This window comes from Homo sapiens, chromosome 4 (genome assembly GCF_000001405.40).
Source record: "Homo sapiens chromosome 4, GRCh38.p14 Primary Assembly".
Classification (NCBI taxonomy): Eukaryota; Metazoa; Chordata; class Mammalia; order Primates; family Hominidae; genus Homo; species Homo sapiens.
This window is the reverse complement of record NC_000004.12, coordinates 99,197,589-99,220,949: the sequence shown is the minus strand read 5'-3', so window position 1 is coordinate 99,220,949 and position 23,361 is coordinate 99,197,589. Positions and strand designations below refer to the sequence as shown.

At 38.1% G+C, this 23,361-nt stretch overlaps 1 protein-coding gene and 1 long non-coding RNA gene across 4 annotated transcripts in view, besides 5 other annotated features; one reads left to right on the top strand and one right to left on the bottom strand.

Moving 5' to 3' along the window:
- Positions 1-23,361, bottom strand: part of LOC100507053 (uncharacterized) — a 212,500-nt gene that overhangs the window by 80,407 nt on the left and 108,732 nt on the right. The window contains exon 4 of the long non-coding RNA NR_037884.1: positions 16,519-16,593. This is a non-coding gene — a long non-coding RNA (uncharacterized LOC100507053). The remainder of the gene's footprint in view (positions 1-16,518; positions 16,594-23,361) is intronic.
- Positions 1,362-1,760: a promoter, noted in NCBI's record as "-342/+57 promoter". NCBI's record gives the evidence for it as "EXISTENCE:reporter gene assay evidence [ECO:0000049][PMID:10975466]".
- Positions 1,578-1,585: a protein binding site, noted in NCBI's record as "C/EBP footprint E". NCBI's record gives the evidence for it as "EXISTENCE:protein binding evidence [ECO:0000024][PMID:10975466]".
- Positions 1,595-1,611: a protein binding site, noted in NCBI's record as "C/EBP footpring D". NCBI's record gives the evidence for it as "EXISTENCE:protein binding evidence [ECO:0000024][PMID:10975466]".
- Positions 1,642-1,671: a protein binding site, noted in NCBI's record as "C/EBP footprint C". NCBI's record gives the evidence for it as "EXISTENCE:protein binding evidence [ECO:0000024][PMID:10975466]".
- ADH6 (alcohol dehydrogenase 6 (class V)) lies at positions 1,704-18,311 on the top strand. 3 transcript variants are annotated; one of them, NM_001102470.2, is made up of 9 exons: positions 1,704-1,815; positions 4,688-4,789; positions 7,203-7,344; positions 10,448-10,535; positions 10,652-10,868; positions 12,022-12,282; positions 13,369-13,504; positions 15,887-16,025; positions 16,707-18,311. In NM_001102470.2, exons 1-9 carry the CDS (start codon positions 1,798-1,800, stop codon positions 16,729-16,731), a joined length of 1,128 nt encoding a protein of 375 aa, NP_001095940.1. In that variant the 5' UTR covers positions 1,704-1,797; the 3' UTR covers positions 16,732-18,311. The 3 variants fall into 3 exon arrangements, 2 of the variants coding, with proteins under 2 accessions (NP_001095940.1, NP_000663.1); NM_000672.4 differs by having other exon boundaries at positions 15,887-18,311; NR_132990.2 differs by lacking the exons at positions 7,203-7,344; positions 10,652-10,868.
- Positions 15,383-15,884: an enhancer, noted in NCBI's record as "NANOG hESC enhancer chr4:100126223-100126724 (GRCh37/hg19 assembly coordinates)". NCBI's record gives its function as "activates a minimal SCP1, AML or CMV promoter by ChIP-STARR-seq in primed H9 embryonic stem cells {active_cell/tissue: H9 hESC(primed)}" and the evidence as "EXISTENCE:reporter gene assay evidence [ECO:0000049][PMID:30033119]".

Genomic DNA, 23,361 nt, shown 5'->3' with positions numbered 1-23,361 from the left:
AAATACAAAAACTAGCTGGTCATGGTGGCGGACGCCTGTTATCCCACCTACTCGGGAGGCTGAGGCAGGAAAATCACTTGAACCCGGGAGGCGGAGGTTGCAGTGAGCAGAGATCACAGCACTGCACTGCAGCCTGGGCGACAAGAGTGAAACTCTACCTCAAAAAAAAAGAATAAAACAATATGGCTGCAGACACTGCAGACATCAAAAAGATAATAAGGGAATAACACTATTAACAACTCTACACAGATAAATTTGACAATTTAGGTAAAGTTGATCAATTCCTCAAAATTGCAAAGTATGAAAACTCATGAAATAAGAAATAGATTATTTGTATAACCTTATAATTATTAAGGTAATTTAATTTATAACTTAAGACATCTCAAAAAGGAGATTCTACCAAACATTTAAAGAATTAACATAGGTTGGGAATGGTGGCACATGCCTGTAATCCCAGCACTTTGGAAGGCCAAGGTGGGTGGATCACTTGAGCCCAGAAGCTCCAGACCAGTCTGGGCAACATAATGAGACCCCACCTCTACAAAAAATACAACAATTAGCTGGGCTTAGTGACACACATGTGTAGTTCCAGCTACTCAGGAGGCTGAGGTGGGAGGATCAGTTGAAGCTGGGAAGTTGAGACTGCAATGAGCTATGATCACACCACTGCACTTCAGCCTAGGTGACAAAGCAAGAACCTATCTTTAAAAAGAAAAAATGAAAATGAATAACAGTTCTACACAATCTCCTCCATAAAATAGAAGAGGTGAAAATACTTCCAAGTTCATTTTATAAAATTAATATTACTGTGACACCAAAACCAAAGATGGTGCCAAAAAAAGAAGAAAACTAACATTAATAACTCTCATGAATATAGACACAAAAATCTTTAACAGAATGTTAGCAAAGTGAATCCAGTGACTGATATATAAAAAAGAATTATACATCAAGTGTGATTTTTTTCCAGGTATGCAAGGCTGGTTCAACATTTGAAAATTAATCAATGTAATCTACCATATCAACATGCTAAAAATGAAAAATCATATGATTGTATCATTTGACACAGAACAAGCATTTACTTATTCTCTCTTGTCTTCTAGCTAAACCCTGCCCACTGGTGTTGCCTTTTATTGGAAATGTATTTTATCTCCATTCTTCATCAAGATCCTTGGGCCTTGGGTCAAGACCCAGGTCCACACACGGAGATTTTCTAGGGTCCAAATCCAAGTTGGTAGGCCCTGTATGCAAATTAGTTTCACTTCCTCTGAGTAACCAGCTCTGCAAACCAAAGAGTGAGGAGCTCTTGATAAACTACTAGAGAAAATCTGACACCATCCTTATCTGTCAACAAGGGGCCTACATTCAGAAACCTGAAAGAATTACTCAAGTTTAGAGACAAATATGACCATTTTTGTATTTTGAAAACAACAGAAAAGAAATACTTTTGTACACTCTGTTAGAAATTTTAAGTTTGGACATTTAAAAGTCCAAATTTAAAACTCAAAAAAATGGATAATAAGAGGGGACCTGTTTGATTAAGGGAGAAAAAAATAGTTTGCATTTTCACCTTTTGTGCTCTTTCACTGAGATGAGCCTATTTCAGATTACACTTAGGAACTTCCATCAAGCAGCGGGAGAGCCTACTTTTCCTGTTTAATAATTACCAGACTACAGAGAAAGCTCAGGACCCAGCCTTCTGATCTACCAGTCGCCTGTGTACCTTTGTACTTTCTACAGTGAAAGTTGCTACAGGATCTCCCTTTCTCAATAAATTCATCTGCGGTGGAGAAAATCAGCATGAGTACTACAGGCCAAGTAGGTGCAGTCTTATTCTTTATGTTGTGTCATATCTTTGTCAGTTTGTGTGCTCATCTCTTTACCAACATCTCATCACCCAGCTAGTCTCTGGGCTCCTAAAGGTGAGAGGCTGTCATAATCATAGTATCTCTCCTCCTCCTCTCCTTTTTCCTTAATTCCCTTTTGACTTCCCTCAGTTCTTTCATCTCTTCAATAAGTAATGTCCAAGCCCTTTATCAGAATTTCCAGAGTCAAAGATATATCCCCTTCTCCAAGGATCTCACAGAGAGACAATAATTATAAAAGAGCAATTATAAAGCAATATACAAGGATAGTAAAGTAGAAAGAGAATGGGAGCCTCAAGGAAAAGCTCATAACCCAGCTTGGCTTCCCAGAGGTGATACCGAAGGGGAAATCACTGGAGAAATATGAATTCACCAGGTAAAGGAGAAGTGTGTGCAGGCAGATAAAACAACATAAGGAGTAATACAGAGACTGAGAAAATATCCCATGCAAGAAGCTTCAGAATATGTTTGGGGGCTGAAAGGTAAAGCCTGAAACACAAAGTGACAGGAAATAAGGTTGGAGAGACTGACAGAGAGAAAATCCTGATGTCAGCGGATCCAGGTAAGCAAATGGTAACAACATCATTTTTAGATAGGAGATTGGTGTGATTAGGATTATATTTCAAATGGCAATGGTATAAAGGTGATTTCGAAGGTGGTAAAAGCAAGAAAGAGATAAAGCAGAAAGCTTTTTTAGTACTAGCAGCAGTGGAGAAAAGACACATATCCTAGAAAAATTTAGACTGTGAAGATTGAGGGACAGAAAAATTGAGGCTACTTCCCAGGTTTCTACTTGGGTGAGTGAACACATCGCATGGCTGCTAGTTGAATAGAGGTAGCAGAGGGAGGAATATATTGAGTGTTTTGTCCACTAGAGCGTGGTGGAAGGTGGAGATGGGAAGAAGAAATAATGATATGTTCATGTTTTAACATGTTGAGTTTGAGATACCTCCAGTACCTTCAAACAGCAAATGAATACATTAGCCTATAACTTAGGGAGAAATATGTCCCATAAATATAGTTTACTCACATAAAGGTAGTGGTTGAATCTGCAAAAATAGATAAGACCACACAGAAAGAGAATTTATAGTGACAACAGTGGTGGCCTGAAATCAGAACCTTTAAGAACTACCTTGCCACCAACAACTTCTCCAACCTCAATCTGCCAAGAGACACCATTTGATGATTGCCTCCATTCGTTGCTCCATAACTCACCCTTCCACCCCAAAACTGATTTTTCCCATGCTTAGGATCACAAATAACTCCCACACTGTAATGCCATTCCTACCCTGAAACAGCCACCAGGCCACTTTATTCATAGTAATATAAAAAGTATGACACCTGCAATCCCACTACTGGGTACCTACCCACAGGAAAATAGTATATTAAAGGTATACCTGAACTTGCCTGTTTATTGCAGCACTATTAACAATAGCAAAGATATAGAATCAACGTTAAGTATCCATCAACAGATGAATGGATAAACAAAATGCGGTACATATACACAATGGAGTACTATTCAGCCGTAAAAAAGAATGAGATCCTGTCATCTGCAGCAACAGGGATAGAACTGAAGATCATTATCTTAAGTGAAATAAGCCAGGCACAAAAAGACAAATATCACATGTTCTTACGCATACGTGGGAGCTAAAAATTTGAACACATGGAGGTAGAGAGTGGGAAAATAGATAACAGAGACTGGGAAGGGTGAGTGGAGAGGATGATGAGAAGTGGGTGAAAAGGTACAAACATGGCCGGGCGTGGTGGCTCACGCCTGTAATCCCAGCACTTTGGGAGGCCAAGGTGGGCGGATCACGAGGTCAGGAGATCAAGAACATCCTGGCTAACACAGTGAAACCCCGTCTCTACTAAAAATACAAAAAAATTAGCCAGGCGTGGTGGTGGGCGCCTGTAGTCCCAGCTACTCAGGAGGCTGAGGCAGGAGAATGGCATGAACCCGGAAGGCGGAGCTTGCAGTGAGCCGAGATCGTGCTACTGCACTCCAGCCTGGGCAACAGAGTGAGACTCCATCTCAAAAACAAAAACAAAATAAAGTACAAACATACAATAAGATAGAAGGAATAAATTCAATGTTTGATACCAGAGTAGGGTCACTATGCTCAACAAAAATGTATTATACTCAGATAATGGACACCCTGAATACCCTTACTTGGTCACTACACATTATATACATTTAACAAAATTTTTCATGTACCCCATAAATAGGCACAATTTTTTTTTTTTGAGATGGAGTCTCGCTCTGTTGACAGACTGGAGTACAGTGGCATGATCTCAGCTCATTGCAACTTCCGTCTCCCAGGTTCAAGCGATTCTCCTGCCTCAGCCTCCTGAGTAGCTGGGATTACAGGTGCAGGCCACCACACCTGGCTAATTTTTGTATTTTTAGTAGAGATAGGGTTTCACCATGTTGGTCAGGCTGGTCTCAAACTCCCGACCTTGTGATCCGCCCGCCTCGACCTCCCAAAGTGCTGGAATTACAGGCGTGAGCCACCGTGCCTGGCCAATAGGCACAATTTTTTTAATTAAAATCTTTAAAAGTATGACATCTATCCTCTTGGTCATGTTACATTTTGTAAATATAGTTGGTATTTTCAAAACTAATTTGAATACAGAGGCTGATAGTACAAGAAAACTTAAATTGGGGTCAGAAAGACTACCTTCAGCATATATTTATTCTTTTTTTTTTCTGCAGTGCGGAAAGTTGGACTAATCCAATTTAATGATTCTATAATCACTAATATAGCAATCTTCCAACTCCCAAGCTTAAGGAGCTTCTCTTTCTGCCCCTGTATTCTATTTCCCAGGTCATCAGATGCAAAGCAGCCATACTCTGGAAGCCTGGTGCACCATTTTCTATTGAAGAGGTAGAAGTGGCCCCACCAAAGGCAAAGGAAGTTCGCATAAAGGTAAAAAAAAAAAAAAAAAAAAAAATCACACCAAAAGCCAAAAGCCAGAGCTTCTTACTGTAAGTTACATATTCTTATCCGGATATTCAACTCAGAAAAAAAAATAATAAAACTACATATCTTTGTATTTCTTTTTCATTAAACATTTCCATCAATTTTTAAATCCAGCCAGATAAAAGGTTAGGGAGGTAAAGCATAGGCTAACTGCCCAAAGGATAAAACTCAGGCTTATTTACAGCTATTGTACTAATTATTAATTTAAAAAAATTCTACCTTCAAACCCTATTTTAATCTGTACTTGTAAATTTTTATGGCATCCTTCATAATACTTGTCTTGAAATATTTTGAATAAAAATTGATTACAGACAAATCATCTCTGAATCTGGAAACTCAAGTTAGAGCTGGAAGGGCCTTAGGGATACCTGATATTTTACAGATGCGAAGACTGAAGCCAGCTGCGGTTTAGTGACTGGTCACACAGCTAGTAGAGTAAAAATAAAGACTAATTTTTCTCGGCTGAGCATGATAGCTCATCCCTGTAATCCCAGCACTCTGGGAGGCAGAGGCAGGAAGATTGCTTGAGTGCAGGAGATGAGAACAGTTTTTCTCAACCTTGGTTACCTATTTGGAATCAGCTGGAAGCTTTGAAAAATGCTGATAACCAAGTCCCATCTCCAGAAATTCTGCAATTGTGATTTAATTAGTCTGGGGTGCAGCCTGGACATGGAAAGTTTTTAAATTGCCTTCAGATGGTTCTATAGGCCTCCTCCAAACTAGAAAATAGTTTACCTGACTTGCAGTTCAGAGTCCTTTGTTATTATTTTAATTATAACAATAAAGAATAAGTACAGTTTAATGATAGATTACAAAGAGACAGTCATTTTCTAAGTCATCTCATCTGCACAGTTCATGCCTTCTTCTCAGAGAGCCTTCTCCATCCTACATCCCCTATGGAGTAAGCAGTGGGCTATTGGGTTGTTCGCATCCACTCCCCACCCACAGGGTCACAACTCATGCAACCAGGTTTGGACCCTCACTCAAAGACATTCAACCATTATCAGACAAGCTACACATCTGAATGTCTCACCAGTGAATTTGAACCAAGATATGGGCACTATAGCAGAGTAAGTGATGGTAGGCAATGGTGAGGTTGGGCAGACTCATCACTGGTTAACTGTTTTTAACCACGATCAGCAAAATAAATGGAGAAAGCCAATCTGCAGAGAATAATAGGTGAATGCAACTATGCCCATATTGAATCAAAGTAAAGAGATAAAGAGAATGACTATTTGGTAAATGTCTAGGTCTATGAGGTCTGACAGCACTTTCTACAGTTGGGTTGCAGGCAATTCAGGCAATTTTATGGTATTGTTCCAATAATCCTCCTTTTACATGCACAAATTTCAATATATTTCATTTCTTGACTAAGGAGTATGTGCATGTGAATGTGTGGCTATGTGTATGCAAACTTCATATTTGTTTTAGAAATGAAGAAACTGAGACCCAGAAAGAAAAATTTACCCCCAAGTTCACACAGCTGAGAAGGGGGAGAGCCAGTATTTCATCCCTGAACACTTAACCACTGTTCTGGAGTGTCTTCATTTTAAACTGTCTGGCTAACTTACAATAAAGTGGGATTATGACTTGTACAAATAACAAAACTATAAAGCTCACTTGTAAAATAAATTAAGGTTTTAATTAAATTATAATAGGAAACATTATTCCTTTGCCTCCTGTGTTCCAATTTCTTTATTTCATTTCATTTTAGAGACAGGGTCTCACTCTGTCACCCAGACTGGAGTGCAGTGGTACAAAATCATAGCTCACTGCAGCCTCGAACTACTGGGCTCAAGTGATCCTCCCACTTCAGCCTCCCAAGCAGCTTGGACTACAGGTGCATGCAACCATGCCTGGCTAATTTGTTTATTTATTGTAGAGATGGAGGTCTCACTATTTTGCCCAGGCTGATCTCAAACTCCTGCCCTTGAGTGACTCTCCTGCCTCAGCCTCCTGAGATGCTGGGATTTTAAGCATAAGCCACTGCACTCAGCTCAATTCCTTTATTTTTATAGTCGTTCTTTCTCCTCCACACTTCCATCTACAAGATCAATGAAGCCAATTGAGACCTCAGACATCAAGTCACACTGCAATTTTACAGCTTCTCTTCTGACCCCATTCTACCCACACTCCCCAGTAAATTTTCAATCATCTTGATTCTGAAATCAGCTAATGAAAAACATTTCATTGCTTTAACAAATTATTATTGACCCTTCCCTAGAATTAAAACTGATAAGAAATGAATGCAGTGTATAAATGGAGAATATCAAACTAGCAAAAAGCCTTACAGTCAACAACTCTAAAACACCATTATCTGAAACAGCGGGAACTGCAGTACCCTTTGCCTTCCATACAGGTTGTGGCCACCGGACTGTGTGGTACAGAGATGAAAGTGTTGGGGAGTAAACACTTGGACCTCTTGTATCCCACCATCTTGGGCCATGAAGGGGCTGGAATCGTTGAGAGTATTGGAGAAGGAGTAAGCACAGTGAAACCAGGTAGGAATTAGCACCTGGTAATAGGAAACAGCAACAACTTGGAACCAACTCGAGAAAATGATAAGCACCCCTTAAGTATGTCAGGATCAAGTGAAATGAAAGGTGAAATGTTTCCAACTTCTTAGAAAAGTAGGGATAAATTACTTGTAAGTTACATAAAATACTAAATATATTGTATTCTTTGCATTTACATTTTGAAAATAAGAAAAAACAAGAAGTAGAATGCACTGAAACTGGACTTGAAAGTACAAATGAGACAAAAATTTATGAAAAAAAGGTTGACTGAGGTAAACTATTGAACAATTATTTAAATGAGGCATATGATAAATAATCAAACACATTAGTGGAACCAAATAAAGAAGCAGTCCAGAATTGAATCCAAATAAACATAAGAAGTTAATGCAGCATGAGGTTTGTCTTTCAAACTTAAGAATAGAAACAGATTATTCCACAAATTGTGTTGAAACAACTAGATAGTTATCCGGGCTAAAAAAGTAAATTGGGTTGCCATCTCATTCTTTATATAAAAAAATTATACATGCATCTAAAAATTAAATGTGAAAAGCAAAACCATAGAAGTACTATAAAATAACATGGGAGAACACTGTATTATCTTGGAGGAGGGAAGGAAATTTTAATCAATACAAAAAAATACCCAGCAGATATAAAATAGATATTTATATAGATAAATTTGACAATGTAAAAATTACATAGATTCTGCATGTTTAAAAAAAACCCCAAAAGTCAAAACCCAGTATGACAATGGACCAATTTTCTTAATATAGAAATAATTTCTTTAAAAGCAATTTTTAAATAAAAAAAGGCAAACAAAATACATGTCTAATTTAAAGAAATATATATATACACATATATGTGTGTGTATATATATATATGAATGCTTTAAACACATTAAAATATGCCCAACCTCAGACATATTAAAAATAAAAAACATTTTAAAAGGCTGGGGGTGGGAAAAATGGAGAGATGTGGTCAAATGGTATAAAATTTCTGCTAGATAGGAAAAATAAGTTTTTTGAGATCTATTGAACAGCATGGTGATCACAGTTGATAATAATGAATTATACTATATTTCAAAATTGCTAAGAGTATACATTTCAAATGTTCTTACCACAAAATATAAGTCTTCAAGTGTTTAACATGTTAATTACTTTGATTTAATCATCCCATATTATATACACATAATATCACATTGTACCCCATAAATATATAATTTGTCAATTTACGATAAAATTTTAAAATGCAATGAAAAAACACTTTTTCCCTAGCAGATCGGCAAAGATTAAGAAGTTTGATAATATATAGAGTTCACAAGAATATAGGCAGACAGCTCCCTCATATCTTATTGTTTGGAACGTAGATTTGCTCGACTCTAAATGCAGCAATATGTAATATCATTTAAATTTATATATTCTTGGACACAACAGTTTCAATTCTAGAAACTTATTCCATAGATATATGTTCATGTACTCATTTTCTATTGCTGCTGGAAAAAATCACCACAAATATAACAGTTTAAAACAACACAAGTTTATTATCTCAGTTTCTATAGGTCAGAAATCTGAGTGGGCTTGGCTGAGTTTTCTGCTCACGTTTCAAGGTCAAAATCAAGCGAGTAGCCAGCTGGGTCCTTATCTGGAGCCTCTGGAGAAAAATCCACTTCCAAGTTCATTCAAGTAGTTTTCAGAATCCAATTCCTTGAGGCTATAGGACTGAGATCCTTATTTCCTCACCAGTGGTCGGCTCCCTGAAATTGCTCACATTTCTTCTTCTGTGGCACCTTCCAGCCTCGAAGCAGCCATGGCCCACTAAATCCTTCCACAGGTGTTAAGTCACTTTTACTTCCTCTTCTGCCTTCATCTGCTCTTCTTCTTTTGATGGCTCATGTGATTACCTTGGGTCCACCTGGATAATTCAGTATAATCTCCCTATCTTAATGACAACTGATTAGTGAACTTAGTTACATCTACAGAGTACCCCTTGCCATGTAGCATAACATACTCACAGGCATGACACCACAACATAGTCACAGTTTCTAGGGATTTGTGCAGGATATCTTTCGGAGGGCATTTTAGAACTCTGTCTACAATAAGATACTCATTGCATTACTGGTTTTAGTGTTGGGGTGTAGAGAAACAAAGAACAACCTAAATATCTATCAGTGTTCATGGCACTGGTTAATGATGGAGCACTATATGTACTAAAATAGAAAGCTCCATGATACAGTGTTAAGTAAAAAAGCTAGGCCCAAACCAGGGTAGATAGCATGCTTACCTTTGCATTTTTAAAGGGGTTACAGTGCTGAAAAATATCGTGGTTACTGGTCAGAGTACCTGTCTCTAAGATGGGGAACTGGGGAATAGAGTAATAATTTTCACTTTTGTGCAGTTTAAATTTTTACCATATGTATGTGTTACTTTTTAAAAAAATAAAAATAAATAAAATAGAAGAAACTAAATCTTCATAAGGTTTTTAACTAAAAGTATAAAACAAATTTCTCTGGTTTACAGTGTTAGACCATGGGGGCAGCCAGTAAAATACATCACAGGCAAGCTCTTCTAATCATGTCCTGATACTTTGACCACTACTAGAGAAATCTGCCTACCTTTGATCTCTAAGGTCAAGAAGAAAGGGTTGATGTCAAACACAGAGAACAGCATAGAAGCAATTTTTTTTCTCCCTAATCCAGAGCTTACTCTGTTAGTATGTGGTATCCATACTATTTTAAATTCAATCCCTGAGAGAGGAAATTAGTGTTGAAAATGTTGAGAAGAGATAAGACTTGACTGAATGGATATATGACAAAAAACTATTTCATACTTGAAAAGGAGCTTACAAAAGAGGCAAATCTGGGGCCAGTTCCTCAAGATTCAGCCACTGAGCCCAGGGCTGGGCCCAGATGCTAAAGACATTCTCTCTTTTTGTAAGTATTTGATATTCTTTGTGGTATCAAGCACAACTGAATGTGGAAATAATTTTCAGCTGTCATTTCTTCTTGGGTGCCTTGCTGTCAAAATCCTGAAAGACAGCTATGTCTTTACTTTAAAAAATAATATGTTAATAAGACATGATTTTGCTCTTTTAGGTGACAAAGTTATCACACTCTTTCTGCCACAGTGTGGAGAATGTACCTCTTGCCTGAATTCTGAGGGCAATTTTTGTATACAATTCAAGTAAGTTTTTACTAATATTTTCTTTTTGAAAACTTAATTCACTTTCATTGGAGAAGATCTAAGCTTTCTAATTCAAAATAAACTTTGTGTTTTGTTTTTTGTTTTGTCTATAAAAGACAGTCAAAAACCCAACTGATGTCTGATGGTACCAGCAGGTTTACCTGCAAGGGAAAATCAATATATCACTTTGGTAATACCAGCACCTTCTGTGAATACACAGTGATAAAGGAAATCTCAGTTGCCAAGATTGATGCAGTCGCTCCTCTAGAGAAAGTATGCCTAATTAGCTGTGGCTTTTCCACTGGGTTTGGTGCTGCAATCAATACTGCCAAGGTGAGGGGCATTTATACCCATTTGGAAGGGAATTATTGGGATATGGAGTTGAAAGGCCTCTTGCATCTTTGTCATCTCTTATCATACCAAAGGAAAAATCCCAAGCCTGACTCCAAACATCCTTGAGTTCTCTGCTATCTACCTAGTCATCCCACACCCCCTTCAACATTTTTCCCATTCCCTCTTGGTGAGTAGTAAAAGACAGATTAAGTCTGGATGCCATTCACAAGTGGAAAGATCAGGAATTACTGGAAATTAAATCTAACATAGTTACAACATGACTCTGTGGCCTTTCATATTCCAGTTTATCCTTTCTTTCCTTAGACAAATATTTTCGGAGCCATTCACTGTCCCAGGTGCTAGAATTCAGCAGCTAACAAAACTCATGAAGCTAATATTATATTGCATGATATATTAGGTAGTGATAAATGCTAATAAAAAGAAAAGGAGAGTAAAGGAACCAAGTGATGAAGTAGGTGTTACTACATTAGACAGATTGACCAGGGGATCCCACTCTGGCTGAATGGGCTGCTATTGAACTCTTATTTCTAAAACATCACTCAAACCTTCCCGGCTCCCTTCCTAAAGGTGCTGTTGAATTTTAGAACTTTGCATTTTCCAGTGTCCATCAGTCCCAATACTATACAGAGAGATAGAATGGAAAAAAATTATTTAAATTAGTCCTATGTAGGACAGTACTCAATAAAAAAAAAGCCTTTGCCTTCACAAGGTATTGACCCGATAAGTTATGAAAAATTTACAGATACCGAGAGAGAGAGAGAGAGACAGAGAGAAATGGTTGTAGGAAGATAGAGATAATTTTAAAGAACTCAAAAATATCTGGAATTAAATACACTGTCAAGTAAGTCTTAATATTCAATGCAAATTCATTTAAACTACTACTCAGACTAATTCCTGGGACTTGAAACTCTACTTTCAGGCAGTTTTTTGTTCCTGTGCCAAGAGTATTCCATATCTAGAAATATTTTTGAAAAATCAAAACTTTGTAGTTATAATATGTTATGTATGTAAACATCATTTGCTTATGACTCGTTAAAAAATACATGCATATAGACTTAGCCTTCCCAACTGAGTAAAGGTGTATGTTCTCTTTGCTTTTTGTTTTCTGAGTTTTCTGCCTGTATGTGTTTAGGTGACTCCAGGTTCTACCTGTGCTGTGTTTGGCCTGGGAGGAGTCGGCTTGTCTGTTGTCATGGGTTGTAAAGCAGCAGGAGCAGCCAGGATCATTGGAGTGGATGTCAACAAGGAGAAATTTAAGAAGGCACAGGAATTGGGTGCTACTGAGTGCCTCAACCCTCAGGACTTAAAGAAACCCATTCAAGAAGTTTTATTTGATATGACAGATGCTGGTATAGACTTCTGCTTTGAGGCCATTGGAAATCTGGACGTTCTGGTATGTAATCCTCTGGAGTGAAAATTACCAATACTTTTACCAGTCATCGTTTAGATTATAGTTGAATGAGCTTTCTAAAATTCCCTCCACTTTGCTCTATTTAATTTTCCTTGTGTTCCATGACATCTCAGCTGGTGCCGTCTGTGTACTCTTACAAATTTGTTCACTATCCCAGATACTAAATCTAGAACTTTCATATAATTTCAAAGCCAGAAGTTTTAAGCAAGATAAGATTAAAATTTGATTAATGACCTTATAAATCAATGTGCTTTTCACTTTCAGTCGTCTTTCATGTCAGATCTGAGATAAGTTTCCAAGAAAAATATTTACTAGTCACGATTAAACGGGTTCATTTCAAAAATGAAGGGGAAAAAAAGTGGTGGTTTTTCTGGCTAAACGTGGTTTATATAAAAGAATAGAAAGTGAGGGGAAGTTACTTAAAAATCTAAGGCTTGTTTTCTTTGGGGATTTGAAGAAATAATGTATTATTAGGTTGCATGGCTCTATCGTCTAGTCAGCTGTATGGAAACTCAACAACTGCCTCTTCCAACTTGGGCCCTTTTCCCAGCATAAAAAATCTTTTCATGATTCACCATACATAAATTCCTTTATCTGTAAGAAGAAACAGCAAAACCTTTCTCACACTCTTACTCTGAGAAATAGCCTTTGAACATAACGAATGTAACGGTATCTGTTTCTCACTTTGCTATCATCTTATTATATAAATATCTGTCTTCTTAGATGTCTAAAAGAAAAATGTCAATTCTTACCAGCCACCTGCATCAGTAATAATTTTTATAAAAATTATTTTTATTATTATCACTACTGTGGATGTTTTTACTATTTTCATTTTTGTTATTTCCATTTATTGAGTCCTAAAGTGCCAGGTACTATACTAAGCAACATACAACGTCTTATATGTGTTTCATAGCATCCTTACAAGATAAATGTTACTTCAAATGAGAATAGGGAGAATCAGAAAAGAAAGTCATAGACCATTTAGGAGTTAAGCTGAAATTAAGATGTAGGCTCAATCCTCACATACATCTTTTAACCCCTATACTGTATTGCATCACTTTCTAACAGGCAGCTGCCCTCGCCTCCTGCAATGAGAGCTATGGGGTCTGTGTGGTTGTTGGGGTGTTGCCTGCCAGTGTTCAACTCAAAATCAGTGGCCAGTTGTTCTTCTCAGGACGTTCTTTGAAGGGTTCTGTTTTTGGAGGTATGGATGAAGCAGGGAAAGGTGGAAATGCCTGAGGAGGTGAAGGTGGGAAATAGAAAAATGTACCATAAACGCTTAAGAAAGGACATAAAACAACAGCTTTATATTACAGATTTTTTTTTTCAACATATGAATACCCAATATAAAGGGATGGATAGTGGGTGTATCTAGTGCCTCTTGGAAAGCTTTTTCTCATGCAAAGATAGAGAAGAGGTTTCTTAATTGATTGGTAAAGAATCCAGTGTCCAACATTTAAAGCAAACTCTAAATTGAAAAGAAGGCAATATTGTAATCTATAACTACACTTCAGCGAAATTATACACCTGCCAGCTGGGATTCTTTGGAGAATATACTTAGCCATTAGTTGTCATTGTTCAACTCATGTAAAATCTTATCCCAAACAAATGAGTTGTCACGCTACCAACTCAAATATATTAAACACAATGGATTCTTGATTTAAAAGAAATACTATTGATTAAAAAAAATAAGAATTATTTTACCCAGAGGAAAAATATCTTATAGAATCCTTTGATTTTCTGTTTTTTACCTGTCCTGGAACATTTTTATAGACTTTAGAAGACTATTTTATTGAAAAAGTAGAAGACAAACTAAATTAAATAAATCTGCTTAAGATTCTGGGCTCATAAGCAAGAAATCTGAAATTTACGAAGAAATGTATTTATCCAGAAACTCTGGGCAATCTGAATGCCTGGGCAAAAAGAGATGAGAATTAGAGGAGTGCCTGAATTACTTGCACAAGTGAGCTGTCTGTAGTCCCCAAGTAAGCTATGGCAGCATGTTATTACAGATATTAGAAGCCTTACCTAATTCATTTATAAAGAGTAGATACATGGCAGGACCAGCAAAAAAAAAAAAGTAATAATCCAGTTATATATATAATCTATTAAATAGAAGAACTGTAATTTCAGTTCTTCTATTTAAGATCATTGAATACATCCATTGCCATTTCTCTCTATTGTATTTATAGATGATAATGTTAATTCAAAATACACATACTCAGCTAAGTCTTATAAAAATAAGATTACCAATATTCTTAAAACCCTCAGTGAATGAAACTAATTCACTGGCCACTCTAGCACTCATATAGTGATCATTAATGTAAATTAGTTTATTCCACAAATAGTATAGTCCTCTGGTTCAATGATTTTCAATCAACAATAGCATTTAACAGGTGTTGGACAGTCCTGCTAAACCTCCCACAATGTGCAAAAGAAAGAATGTTCCCCACCCAAAATGCCAGTAGTGCCCTTGTTGAGAAACACTGCCTAGTCCCGTCTGTGGTCCTAGAATTTTCTTTCCTATGTCATTTGGTTGAAATAAGAAAAAAAGTGGAGGGTTGACATAGATGTAAAAATGTTTTATCAGATCACCAATCAAAATATAAAAACAAATAGAAATATACACTGGCCCTTCATGTCATGACATAGAACAGTAATTAGTATTCTTGGTTACACATAACAGAAACAAACTTAAATTAAAAATAAATCTATTAGAAGAGTTTGTGGTAGTTTGGAGAAGAAGTTGGGGAGCCTAACCTAAGCTAGAACCAAGAAAAGCAAGTAATTGTCAAGATCCTATCACAGAATAATCCGCATAGAACACTAAGCAGATTACGCCACATTATACTTTGCACAATTACACCACACCCACCCTTTCTAGCAATGAGCAGACTGCCAAAGTCTGTGTGGTAACTCACTGAGCGTGGCACTTAGCACAGTGCTAAATTTAATGTGTTTCTTGAAAATCACGGGAATAGAGAAAATACAATGCTAAACTACATCTTACCTTAGCTAACTCCATCTTTGCTTGTTCAATTCTTACTTCCAGAAAGCACATTTTATTCTTATATTGCTTTGTACACATTCTTTTCCCAAGAGCTTTCACTGGGACTGCTGCCACAGTGAGAGTTCTTCTTTTCCTTTAAGCTATTTGACTCTTTTATGAAGTGGCAGATCAAAACATACACATGAGGGAATGCACACACAAAAAAATGTGCTATATTTAACATTTGAATTGCTTCTTTCCATGATTCCCAAGACCTTGGCCTTTGTTATACATTAGATATAGATTCACTGCTCCCCAGAGATTGCAACATGACACCAGGAACACTCAAGGCAAGGTCCACATTCTATCTGCTTTGAATTAATTCTCCTCTGTAGTACCAGAAGTCTCCTTTAGGAACACAGCCCTCTATATAATGTGTGTGGTTGGGGTAGGCATTCTCCTGATGATTGAGGCAAGTAAACGGGACAGGCTTAGATTTTCTCAGTCAAAGCCAACAACTTCAGCAGTTACTTTGAATGACCTTTCCTTTATAATGAAGCCTCATGTGTAAAATTCATCATTAATCTGTATTTCCAGGCTGGAAGAGCAGACAGCACATCCCTAAACTGGTTGCTGATTATATGGCAGAGAAGTTGAATCTAGATCCACTAATTACTCATACTCTGAATCTTGATAAAATCAATGAAGCAGTTGAATTAATGAAAACTGGAAAATGGTAAACTGCCCACATAAATTTTATGTCTGTGTGTTTGAGACCAAGAGAAAGGGTGTATTGGCTTGGGAGTAGAAGAAGGGTCGTCCCTGCTGCAGAAGCTGTATACTGATAATTGAAGAGGCTTTCAGGAATTTGTAAAGCATCTCCTTCCCCTCTGCATTTTGTTTTATTTCTAGCTAATAAAATACATAATCCTGAAAGTATTTAAGTGTTCACCTACCGTTACTTTTGCCATTAGCATTGTATTTCCAATATGGATTTTTTTTTTACATGACATATTAATGGAAGTCAGCTTATAAAATTGTAGCTCAAGTTTAAAAACATAAGAAGGTAGTTCACAAATAGGCCATTGTTGTATTTGTTGTTCTACTTTGGGGGAGAAGAGGAATTATTCATAGGATTCCTAATTCTGAATCCTATCTTTGACCCAAAAAACAGAAACCAGCCATAACCCAGAAACTGGCATTCCCCACACGAGTATAAGCTTGCTTACCTACTTTTTACCCTTGGAGTTTCATGTCATTTTAAAAAATCTTCCCATGGCTTATTTAATCTTCTCATTTTTCACCTAAAGAGAAAAAAAATCTAGTTTACTGCTCTACAAAGTGAGAATTTGAAATCCAAAACACAAATGTTGCTCTAAAAATGTTCCAACCTTTTTTCTCTTCTTCTTTTTTTCAGTATCCGCTGTATCCTGTTACTTTAAGTACAATGTAATACATGCAAGACCCAAAGGATATTTCACCAACTCAATGGCATTTGATGTAATTTTCATGATTTAGAAGAATTATTCACCCAATCCCATTTCTATATTCTGACTTCTGATTCACTCCGCAGTGGACCTATATCTGGCTTCTGACCTAACCATTTCATCAAAATTGTTCTTACGTAACCCAGTGTCACCAAGGATCAGCCTCCTTTTCAGAGCTAGATTAAGGTTGGCTTGAATCACTCAACTCCACATCCTTCAGACATAAAAGGTCAATGCAAGATGCTCCCATTTTCATAGTTCCTCTACCTGTGGACCTTTATATTCTTGTACACTATATGTCTCTCTCACAGGCCTAGACATGAAACTCTGCCATTTTACTCTAAAGAAACAAAACTCCGCATTAATGAGTTTATTGAAGATTCAGGTTAACCTGAATCAAGTTAACCCAGTCTCAAATGCTCACTTATCCTATCTCCTTGGCACAAATCTCTCCTCTCCTGGATTGCCAAAGAAAATTCAAATTATTCTTCAATTAGTCAGGATGATTTGACTATCAGCAGTTCATAGTACCCATCTTCATAACTAAGCCACCTAGGGATCCAGCAGAAAAAAAAGGGATGAGGGGAGTCATCATACAGGAGGTGGATCATTTAGCAGGATCCACACTTCCTACAAAGCGGTTGTAATATTAAATAACAAAACTGTTTTTTATTCCAATCTTCACATAAAACAGGAATAATTGTATACTTTCTTACTAATGTGTTCCATGGAGTTTTTCCTCCAAGAAGTGGCTTAGGGGAAAATGAGCCCCAGTAATGCTTTGTGGCATCCAATCCTTCTACCCCGACCCTTTGACTTTCTGCCCCAGCCCCTCTTAGTTCTCCTAGAATTAGGACTAAGGTTAAGTGCCCTCTTGGGATATGACTTCCTTCCCTTCCTCTTGATACAAAAAGAGCCTATTACCAACCCTCATACACACAAGAGTTCCCTTCCTAGTTGCAGACTCTTCTGCTCCAGCTGGACTCCCCTAGCTCTGGACTCCCACTAGATCACACAGGGGTCCCTGCATGTCAGTAAACTTTGGATGACCTTGGGAGACCAAAAAATGGAATATCATTTTTTGATCTAAACAAAATAGTTTCCTGATTTAACACTGGCCAGGAAGGTGGGCTGCACCCTCAGTCTCTCTCTCCCATCATGGTTTTCACATGATATCAAAGGACTCTCATAACAGTCTGATTCTTATGAGTTGGGCATCCTGTGTTTCCCTTTAGGGGCCTGCTTCCTTCAAATAGAGGAGATGGGTGCTATGAAACCTATTCACTCTGGACTTGGGATGGCTCTTCTCCATCTTCCCAAGTCTGAGCTGGAGCCTCCATGCCCAACTCTGCTCTGCTCTTCTATTTCCTGACAGCAGCTAAGGCATGTTCCTGTTCTGCCCCCAAATTGACCTTACTAACAGTGAGAACTTGGAGGAGTCTTCGGGTCTTGGGAAATCCAAGTTTTCCCGGAAACGTTTTGTTGTAAACAGTGTCCACACTCTTTGCTCCAATAAAGCTCGGTTCCTTAAGCCACTTTGAATGTCTTGTTATGGTGTAGCTCGTTGCAAAATTCACCTAATTTTATCACAAATGCAGGAACTTTTTTTCCTTCCTGTTAATATACAGTCAAACATATTACCAAGTACTGGAGACTATCTATATCACTGTATAACCATTCACTGTTGTTGCCAGCTTCAAGACCACATTTGAATCCTATCAGGCCCAGTAAACTCTGTGAATAGACTCTGTGAACTGTCTCTAAGTCTCACTGTTTTGTCCACATTAAGTGTCTTGTTTGAAGCACAAAGTAAAATCTTTCTTTCCAATCCCTGTCACTGCACCTCCCTAGACAGTCACTACATGGGGCAGTTTATGGACTTCAGCAATGTTTACCTAACTCCAGATCCACACTATAGGAGTCCAGCCTTCAGGGAGAACTAGTTTTTTACATTTTTTGCCTGCATAATGAGAAGCTTTAAGTTTTTCATATTTTTACCTGAGAACAAGAATAATTACATTCTAGGCTATCACCCAACAATAATAAAATAATATGTGTCCATGCAATATAAATGCCCCATACTAACACACAAGGTACATGCAAAAGCCCATTATTGCACCACCAGGAATATGCACTACCAAACATTGAGAGTTAATGTTCCCTGATAATTTTCAAGTGAGAACCATCAGCTCCTACATATTCACAATGAAGCCTTTATACTGATATTGGCACAAGCTTCTGAAAATGTTTTAAATCCTATACACACCCTCAGTTTCCTATTAAATGTTGTAAGTTAACACTAGGGTTCTCTCTAGTGGTGAAATTTGACATTTCCCTACGCAATAATTTCAAAAGAATTTGATTTCTCCCACTTATTTCTCTCTAACATCATTCATAAGCCAGACGACCAATCACTGGAGGACTGACAAGAGTATGAACTTCGTTCTTGTTTTGTTTTGTTTTTGCCTTTTTGATGAGCTTTGATAGTCTCTTAACTAATCACTCACTCAACCAACATTTATTTAGTAATGTACATAGTATTGAAGACTCTATACAGCTTGACATCTAGGGACACAGATATGAAAGTAATTAAAATGCAATATAGTAACTATTATATCAGAGGAAAAATCAACCAATAAACAGAGGGGAAAAATTAGTCCTACCTAGGAGAGATTAGAGAAAAATACACAGAGAAGGAAACCTGAAGTTTAGCCTCAATGGGTGCATCAGGTTTTGCCAAGTGGAGAAAGAATATTGCGAGCCTATGTAATAGCATGAGAAAAGTTCAAGTTGGTGAAAGAGTATGGGCTGTGATGGTGAATGTGAGAAAGGTGAGAGAGAGGTGTGGCTGGACCAAACAATGAAGAGGGGGAAGGATTTAGTTCTATAGACCAGGGATAGTTACAGAGGTTTTCAAGGAAAGGATTGGCATGCCCAAATCTGTGTTTCAGAAAAACATGACTTTTCAGCCTGGGCAACATAGCAAGACCTATTCTCTACAAAAAGTTAAAAAAAAAAAAAAAAATTAGCCAGACATGGCGGTACATGCCTCTAGTCCCAGCTACTCGGGAGGATGAGGTAGGAGAATCTAAAGCCAAGAAGTTGGAGGCTGCAGTGTGCCAGGATTATGCTACTGCTCTCCATCCTGGGCAAAAAAGCGAGACCCTGTCTCACAAAAAGAAAAACAAAATGCCTTTGGCAGCACTGTGGAGGATAGTATGAAGAGGACAGAGACTGGAAGTAGGAAAAATAATTGACAAGCTGTGCGTTAAGGCACAATTGAGAAGCTGTGTATTAAGGTGCAATTAAGGAGAAAAATTTTGCATCTAAAGCCAATGGCTGTGAGTACAAGTTACATGAAAGGTTCTTGTAGCTGCTGCCATCAGTACCTCATCCATATTCCTAGGACCTTACCACTTCTCTGTGCCCCATTAGCTTTCAGCTGCTGGTGTCAGCACTCTCATGTCTGAGGGCTTTTGCCAGAACTATAGAAGATTGATCTGCCTACTTCTGTTAAAACAGCCCAGAAGACCTAGGGAATTTATACCCCACCAAGCAGCCCTCCACAAGTGACTGGTAGAAGTCTCTACAAAATAAACAAGGCCAGAGAGTTTTCCATGAGATTAAACTCTAGTTGCCCCCTTTGGTAGCCAGTTTTAAAATGCACTCTTATACTCAAGTTTATATTAGGACTTATGTAGGGCCTATTATGTAGGCTATCGTGAACTATATTAGGACTTATGTAGGGCCTGTAGCTCCTTTCTTTTGGCCAATTTATCCCTTTTGGAATAGGAGTAGTTACCCAATGCCTGTATCCCCATTGTATCTTGGAAATCATTAACTTGTTTTAGATTTTACAGGTTAATGGGTAGAAGAGACTAGCCTTGTCTCAGATGAAACTCTGGACCTTTAACTTTTGAGTTAATGCTAGAATGAGTTAAGATTCTGAGGGGCTGTTAGGAAGGCAAGATTGTATTTCAAAATGTGAGAAAGACATGATATCTGAGAGGGGTCAGGGGCAGAATGATATAGTTTAGATCTGTGTCCTTGCCCAAATTGCATGTCAAATCTTAATCCCCAATGTTGGAGGTGGGTCCTGATCGGAGGTGATTGGATCATCGGGATGGATTTCCCCCTTGGTCCTGTTCTCATGATAGTGAATGACTTCTCATGAGGTCTGGTTGTTTAAAAATGTGTAGCACATCCCCTGCAACTTTCCTCTTGCCCCATCCATGTGACATGCTTCCCTCCCACTTTGCCTTCTACCATGATTGTAAGTTTTCTTAATCCTCCCCCAAAGCAGAAGCTGCTATGCTTCCTATACAGCCTATAAAACCATAAGCCAATTAAACATATTTTCTTTATAAATTACCCAGTCTCAGGTATTCCTTTATAGCAGTACTAGAACTAAATAATACAACACATAGTCATCAGATTTTCTAAGGTTTACATGAAAGAAAAAATATTAAAGGCAGCTAGAAAAAAGGGGCAAATAACATATAGAGGAAAGCCCATTGGGCTAACAGCAAACCTATCAGCAATAACCCTACAAACCAGAAGAGATTGGGGGCCTGTATTCAGCATTCTTAAAGAAAAGAAACTACAACCAAGAATTTCATATCCAACAAAACTAAGCTTCATAAGTATAGGAGAAATAAGGTTATTTTTAAACAAGCAAATGCTAAGGGAATTTGTTACCACCAGACATGCCTTACAAGAGGTACTTAACAGAATGTTAAATATGGAAATGAAAAACCATTACTGGCCACCAAAAAAACACACTTAAGTACATAGACAGTTGACATTATAACCAACTGCACAATCAATTCTGGATAATAACCAGCTAACAACACAATGACAGGATCAAATCTCCACCTATCTATGCTAACCTTGAATGTAAGTGGGCTAAAAACCCCACTTAAAAGGCACAGATTGGCAAATTGGATAAACAAGCAGGACTAGACTATATGCTGTCTTCAAGAGACCCATCTCACATACAAAGACAGAAGAGGCTCAAAGTAAAAAGATGGAGAGAAATCAACCGAGCAAACAAAAGTAGAAAAAGGCAGTGTGATGGTTAATACTGAGTGTCAACTTAATTGGATTCAAAGGATGCAAAGTATTGATCCTGGGTGTGTCTGTGAGGGTGTTGCAAAAGGAGATTAACATTTGAGTCAGTGGGATGGGAAAGGCAGACCCACGCTTAATCTGGGTGGGCACCATTTAATCAGCTGCCAGCATGGCCAGAATTTAAAAGCAGGCAGAAAAATGTGAAAAGACTAGACTGGCTTAGCCTCCCAGCCTACGTCTTTCTCCCATGCTGGATGCTTCCTGCCCTCGAACATCAAACTCCAAGTTCTTCAGCTTTGGGACTCAGACGGGCTTCCTTGCTCCTCAGCTTACAGACAGCCTATTGTGGGACCTTGTGATCATGTTACTTAATACTTCTTAATAAACTCCTATATATATGTGTGTGTGTGTGTGTGTGTGCGTGTATATATATATATACATAAAATACCTACGTATTAGTTCTGTTTCTCTAGAGAACCCTAACTAATACAGATTTTGGCACCAGGAGTGGTTCTAGAGGAACAGAATATTAAGGATGGAGTTCTTTCATTGGTTTTGGGATTTCTGGAGTTGGCTGCTTAATATGATTACACCCAAAAATGCTAAGGACTCTACTTCTAATAGTATGGAGAATACTGGTAGTCCTTGGTATGAACTGTTTAGACAGTTATGCAAAATAAATGCATTTGACACTACTGATTCACCACTCATGAGAGGCAAGGAGTTTAGTGACTCTATAAGTAATACCTTTGACTATATGTGGAGAACCAAGAGACACAATGAAGTTGGTTGGTTGCTCCTAAGTTCACTGGACAGAGTGAAGAAAGAAAATGATGAACTCAGGGATTCTAACTCCAGGCATCAGAAGCAGATACTGAGCCTCAAATCTGCTAAGATTGCCCTGACAGTCTTATCTCCTGTAGAGAAGAGCTGAAATTGTGGAAAAACAGACACAAGCTCTTATCATGCAAGTGGCTGACCTGCAATGATAGGTGCATGGAGAGCCCCACCAGGTGTCTCCTGTTAAAGTGAGGGCATTGATTTGAAAAGAATGAGACCCTGAAACTTGGAATGGGGATGTGTGGGATGACTGTGATGAAGCTGGGGACACTGAGCTTGTAAACTCTGATGAACCTTCTTTGCCAGAAGAAACAGCTTCCCCATCTCCAGCAGCGGCAACACCCCTCCCCAACCCATGCTGCCATCAGCCTTTCCACCTTTGTCTGAAGAGATATACCCTGTACTGCCTGAGGCAATAGTGATGGCCCCCCTTGAACAGTTGCCAGGCAAGATAATGTTGATTCACCTCAGGAGCCACCCCCAACACCCCCGTTTGCTTCTAGACCTATAATTAGACTAAAGTCCCCACAGACCCCTAGAGGTAAGGTTGAGTGTGACCCATGGGGAGGCACACTACACTCGAAAAGAACTGCTTGGGTTTTCTAATTTATATAAGCAGAAATCTGGAGAACAGGCATGGGAATGGATAATAAGGGTGTGGGATAATGGTGAAAG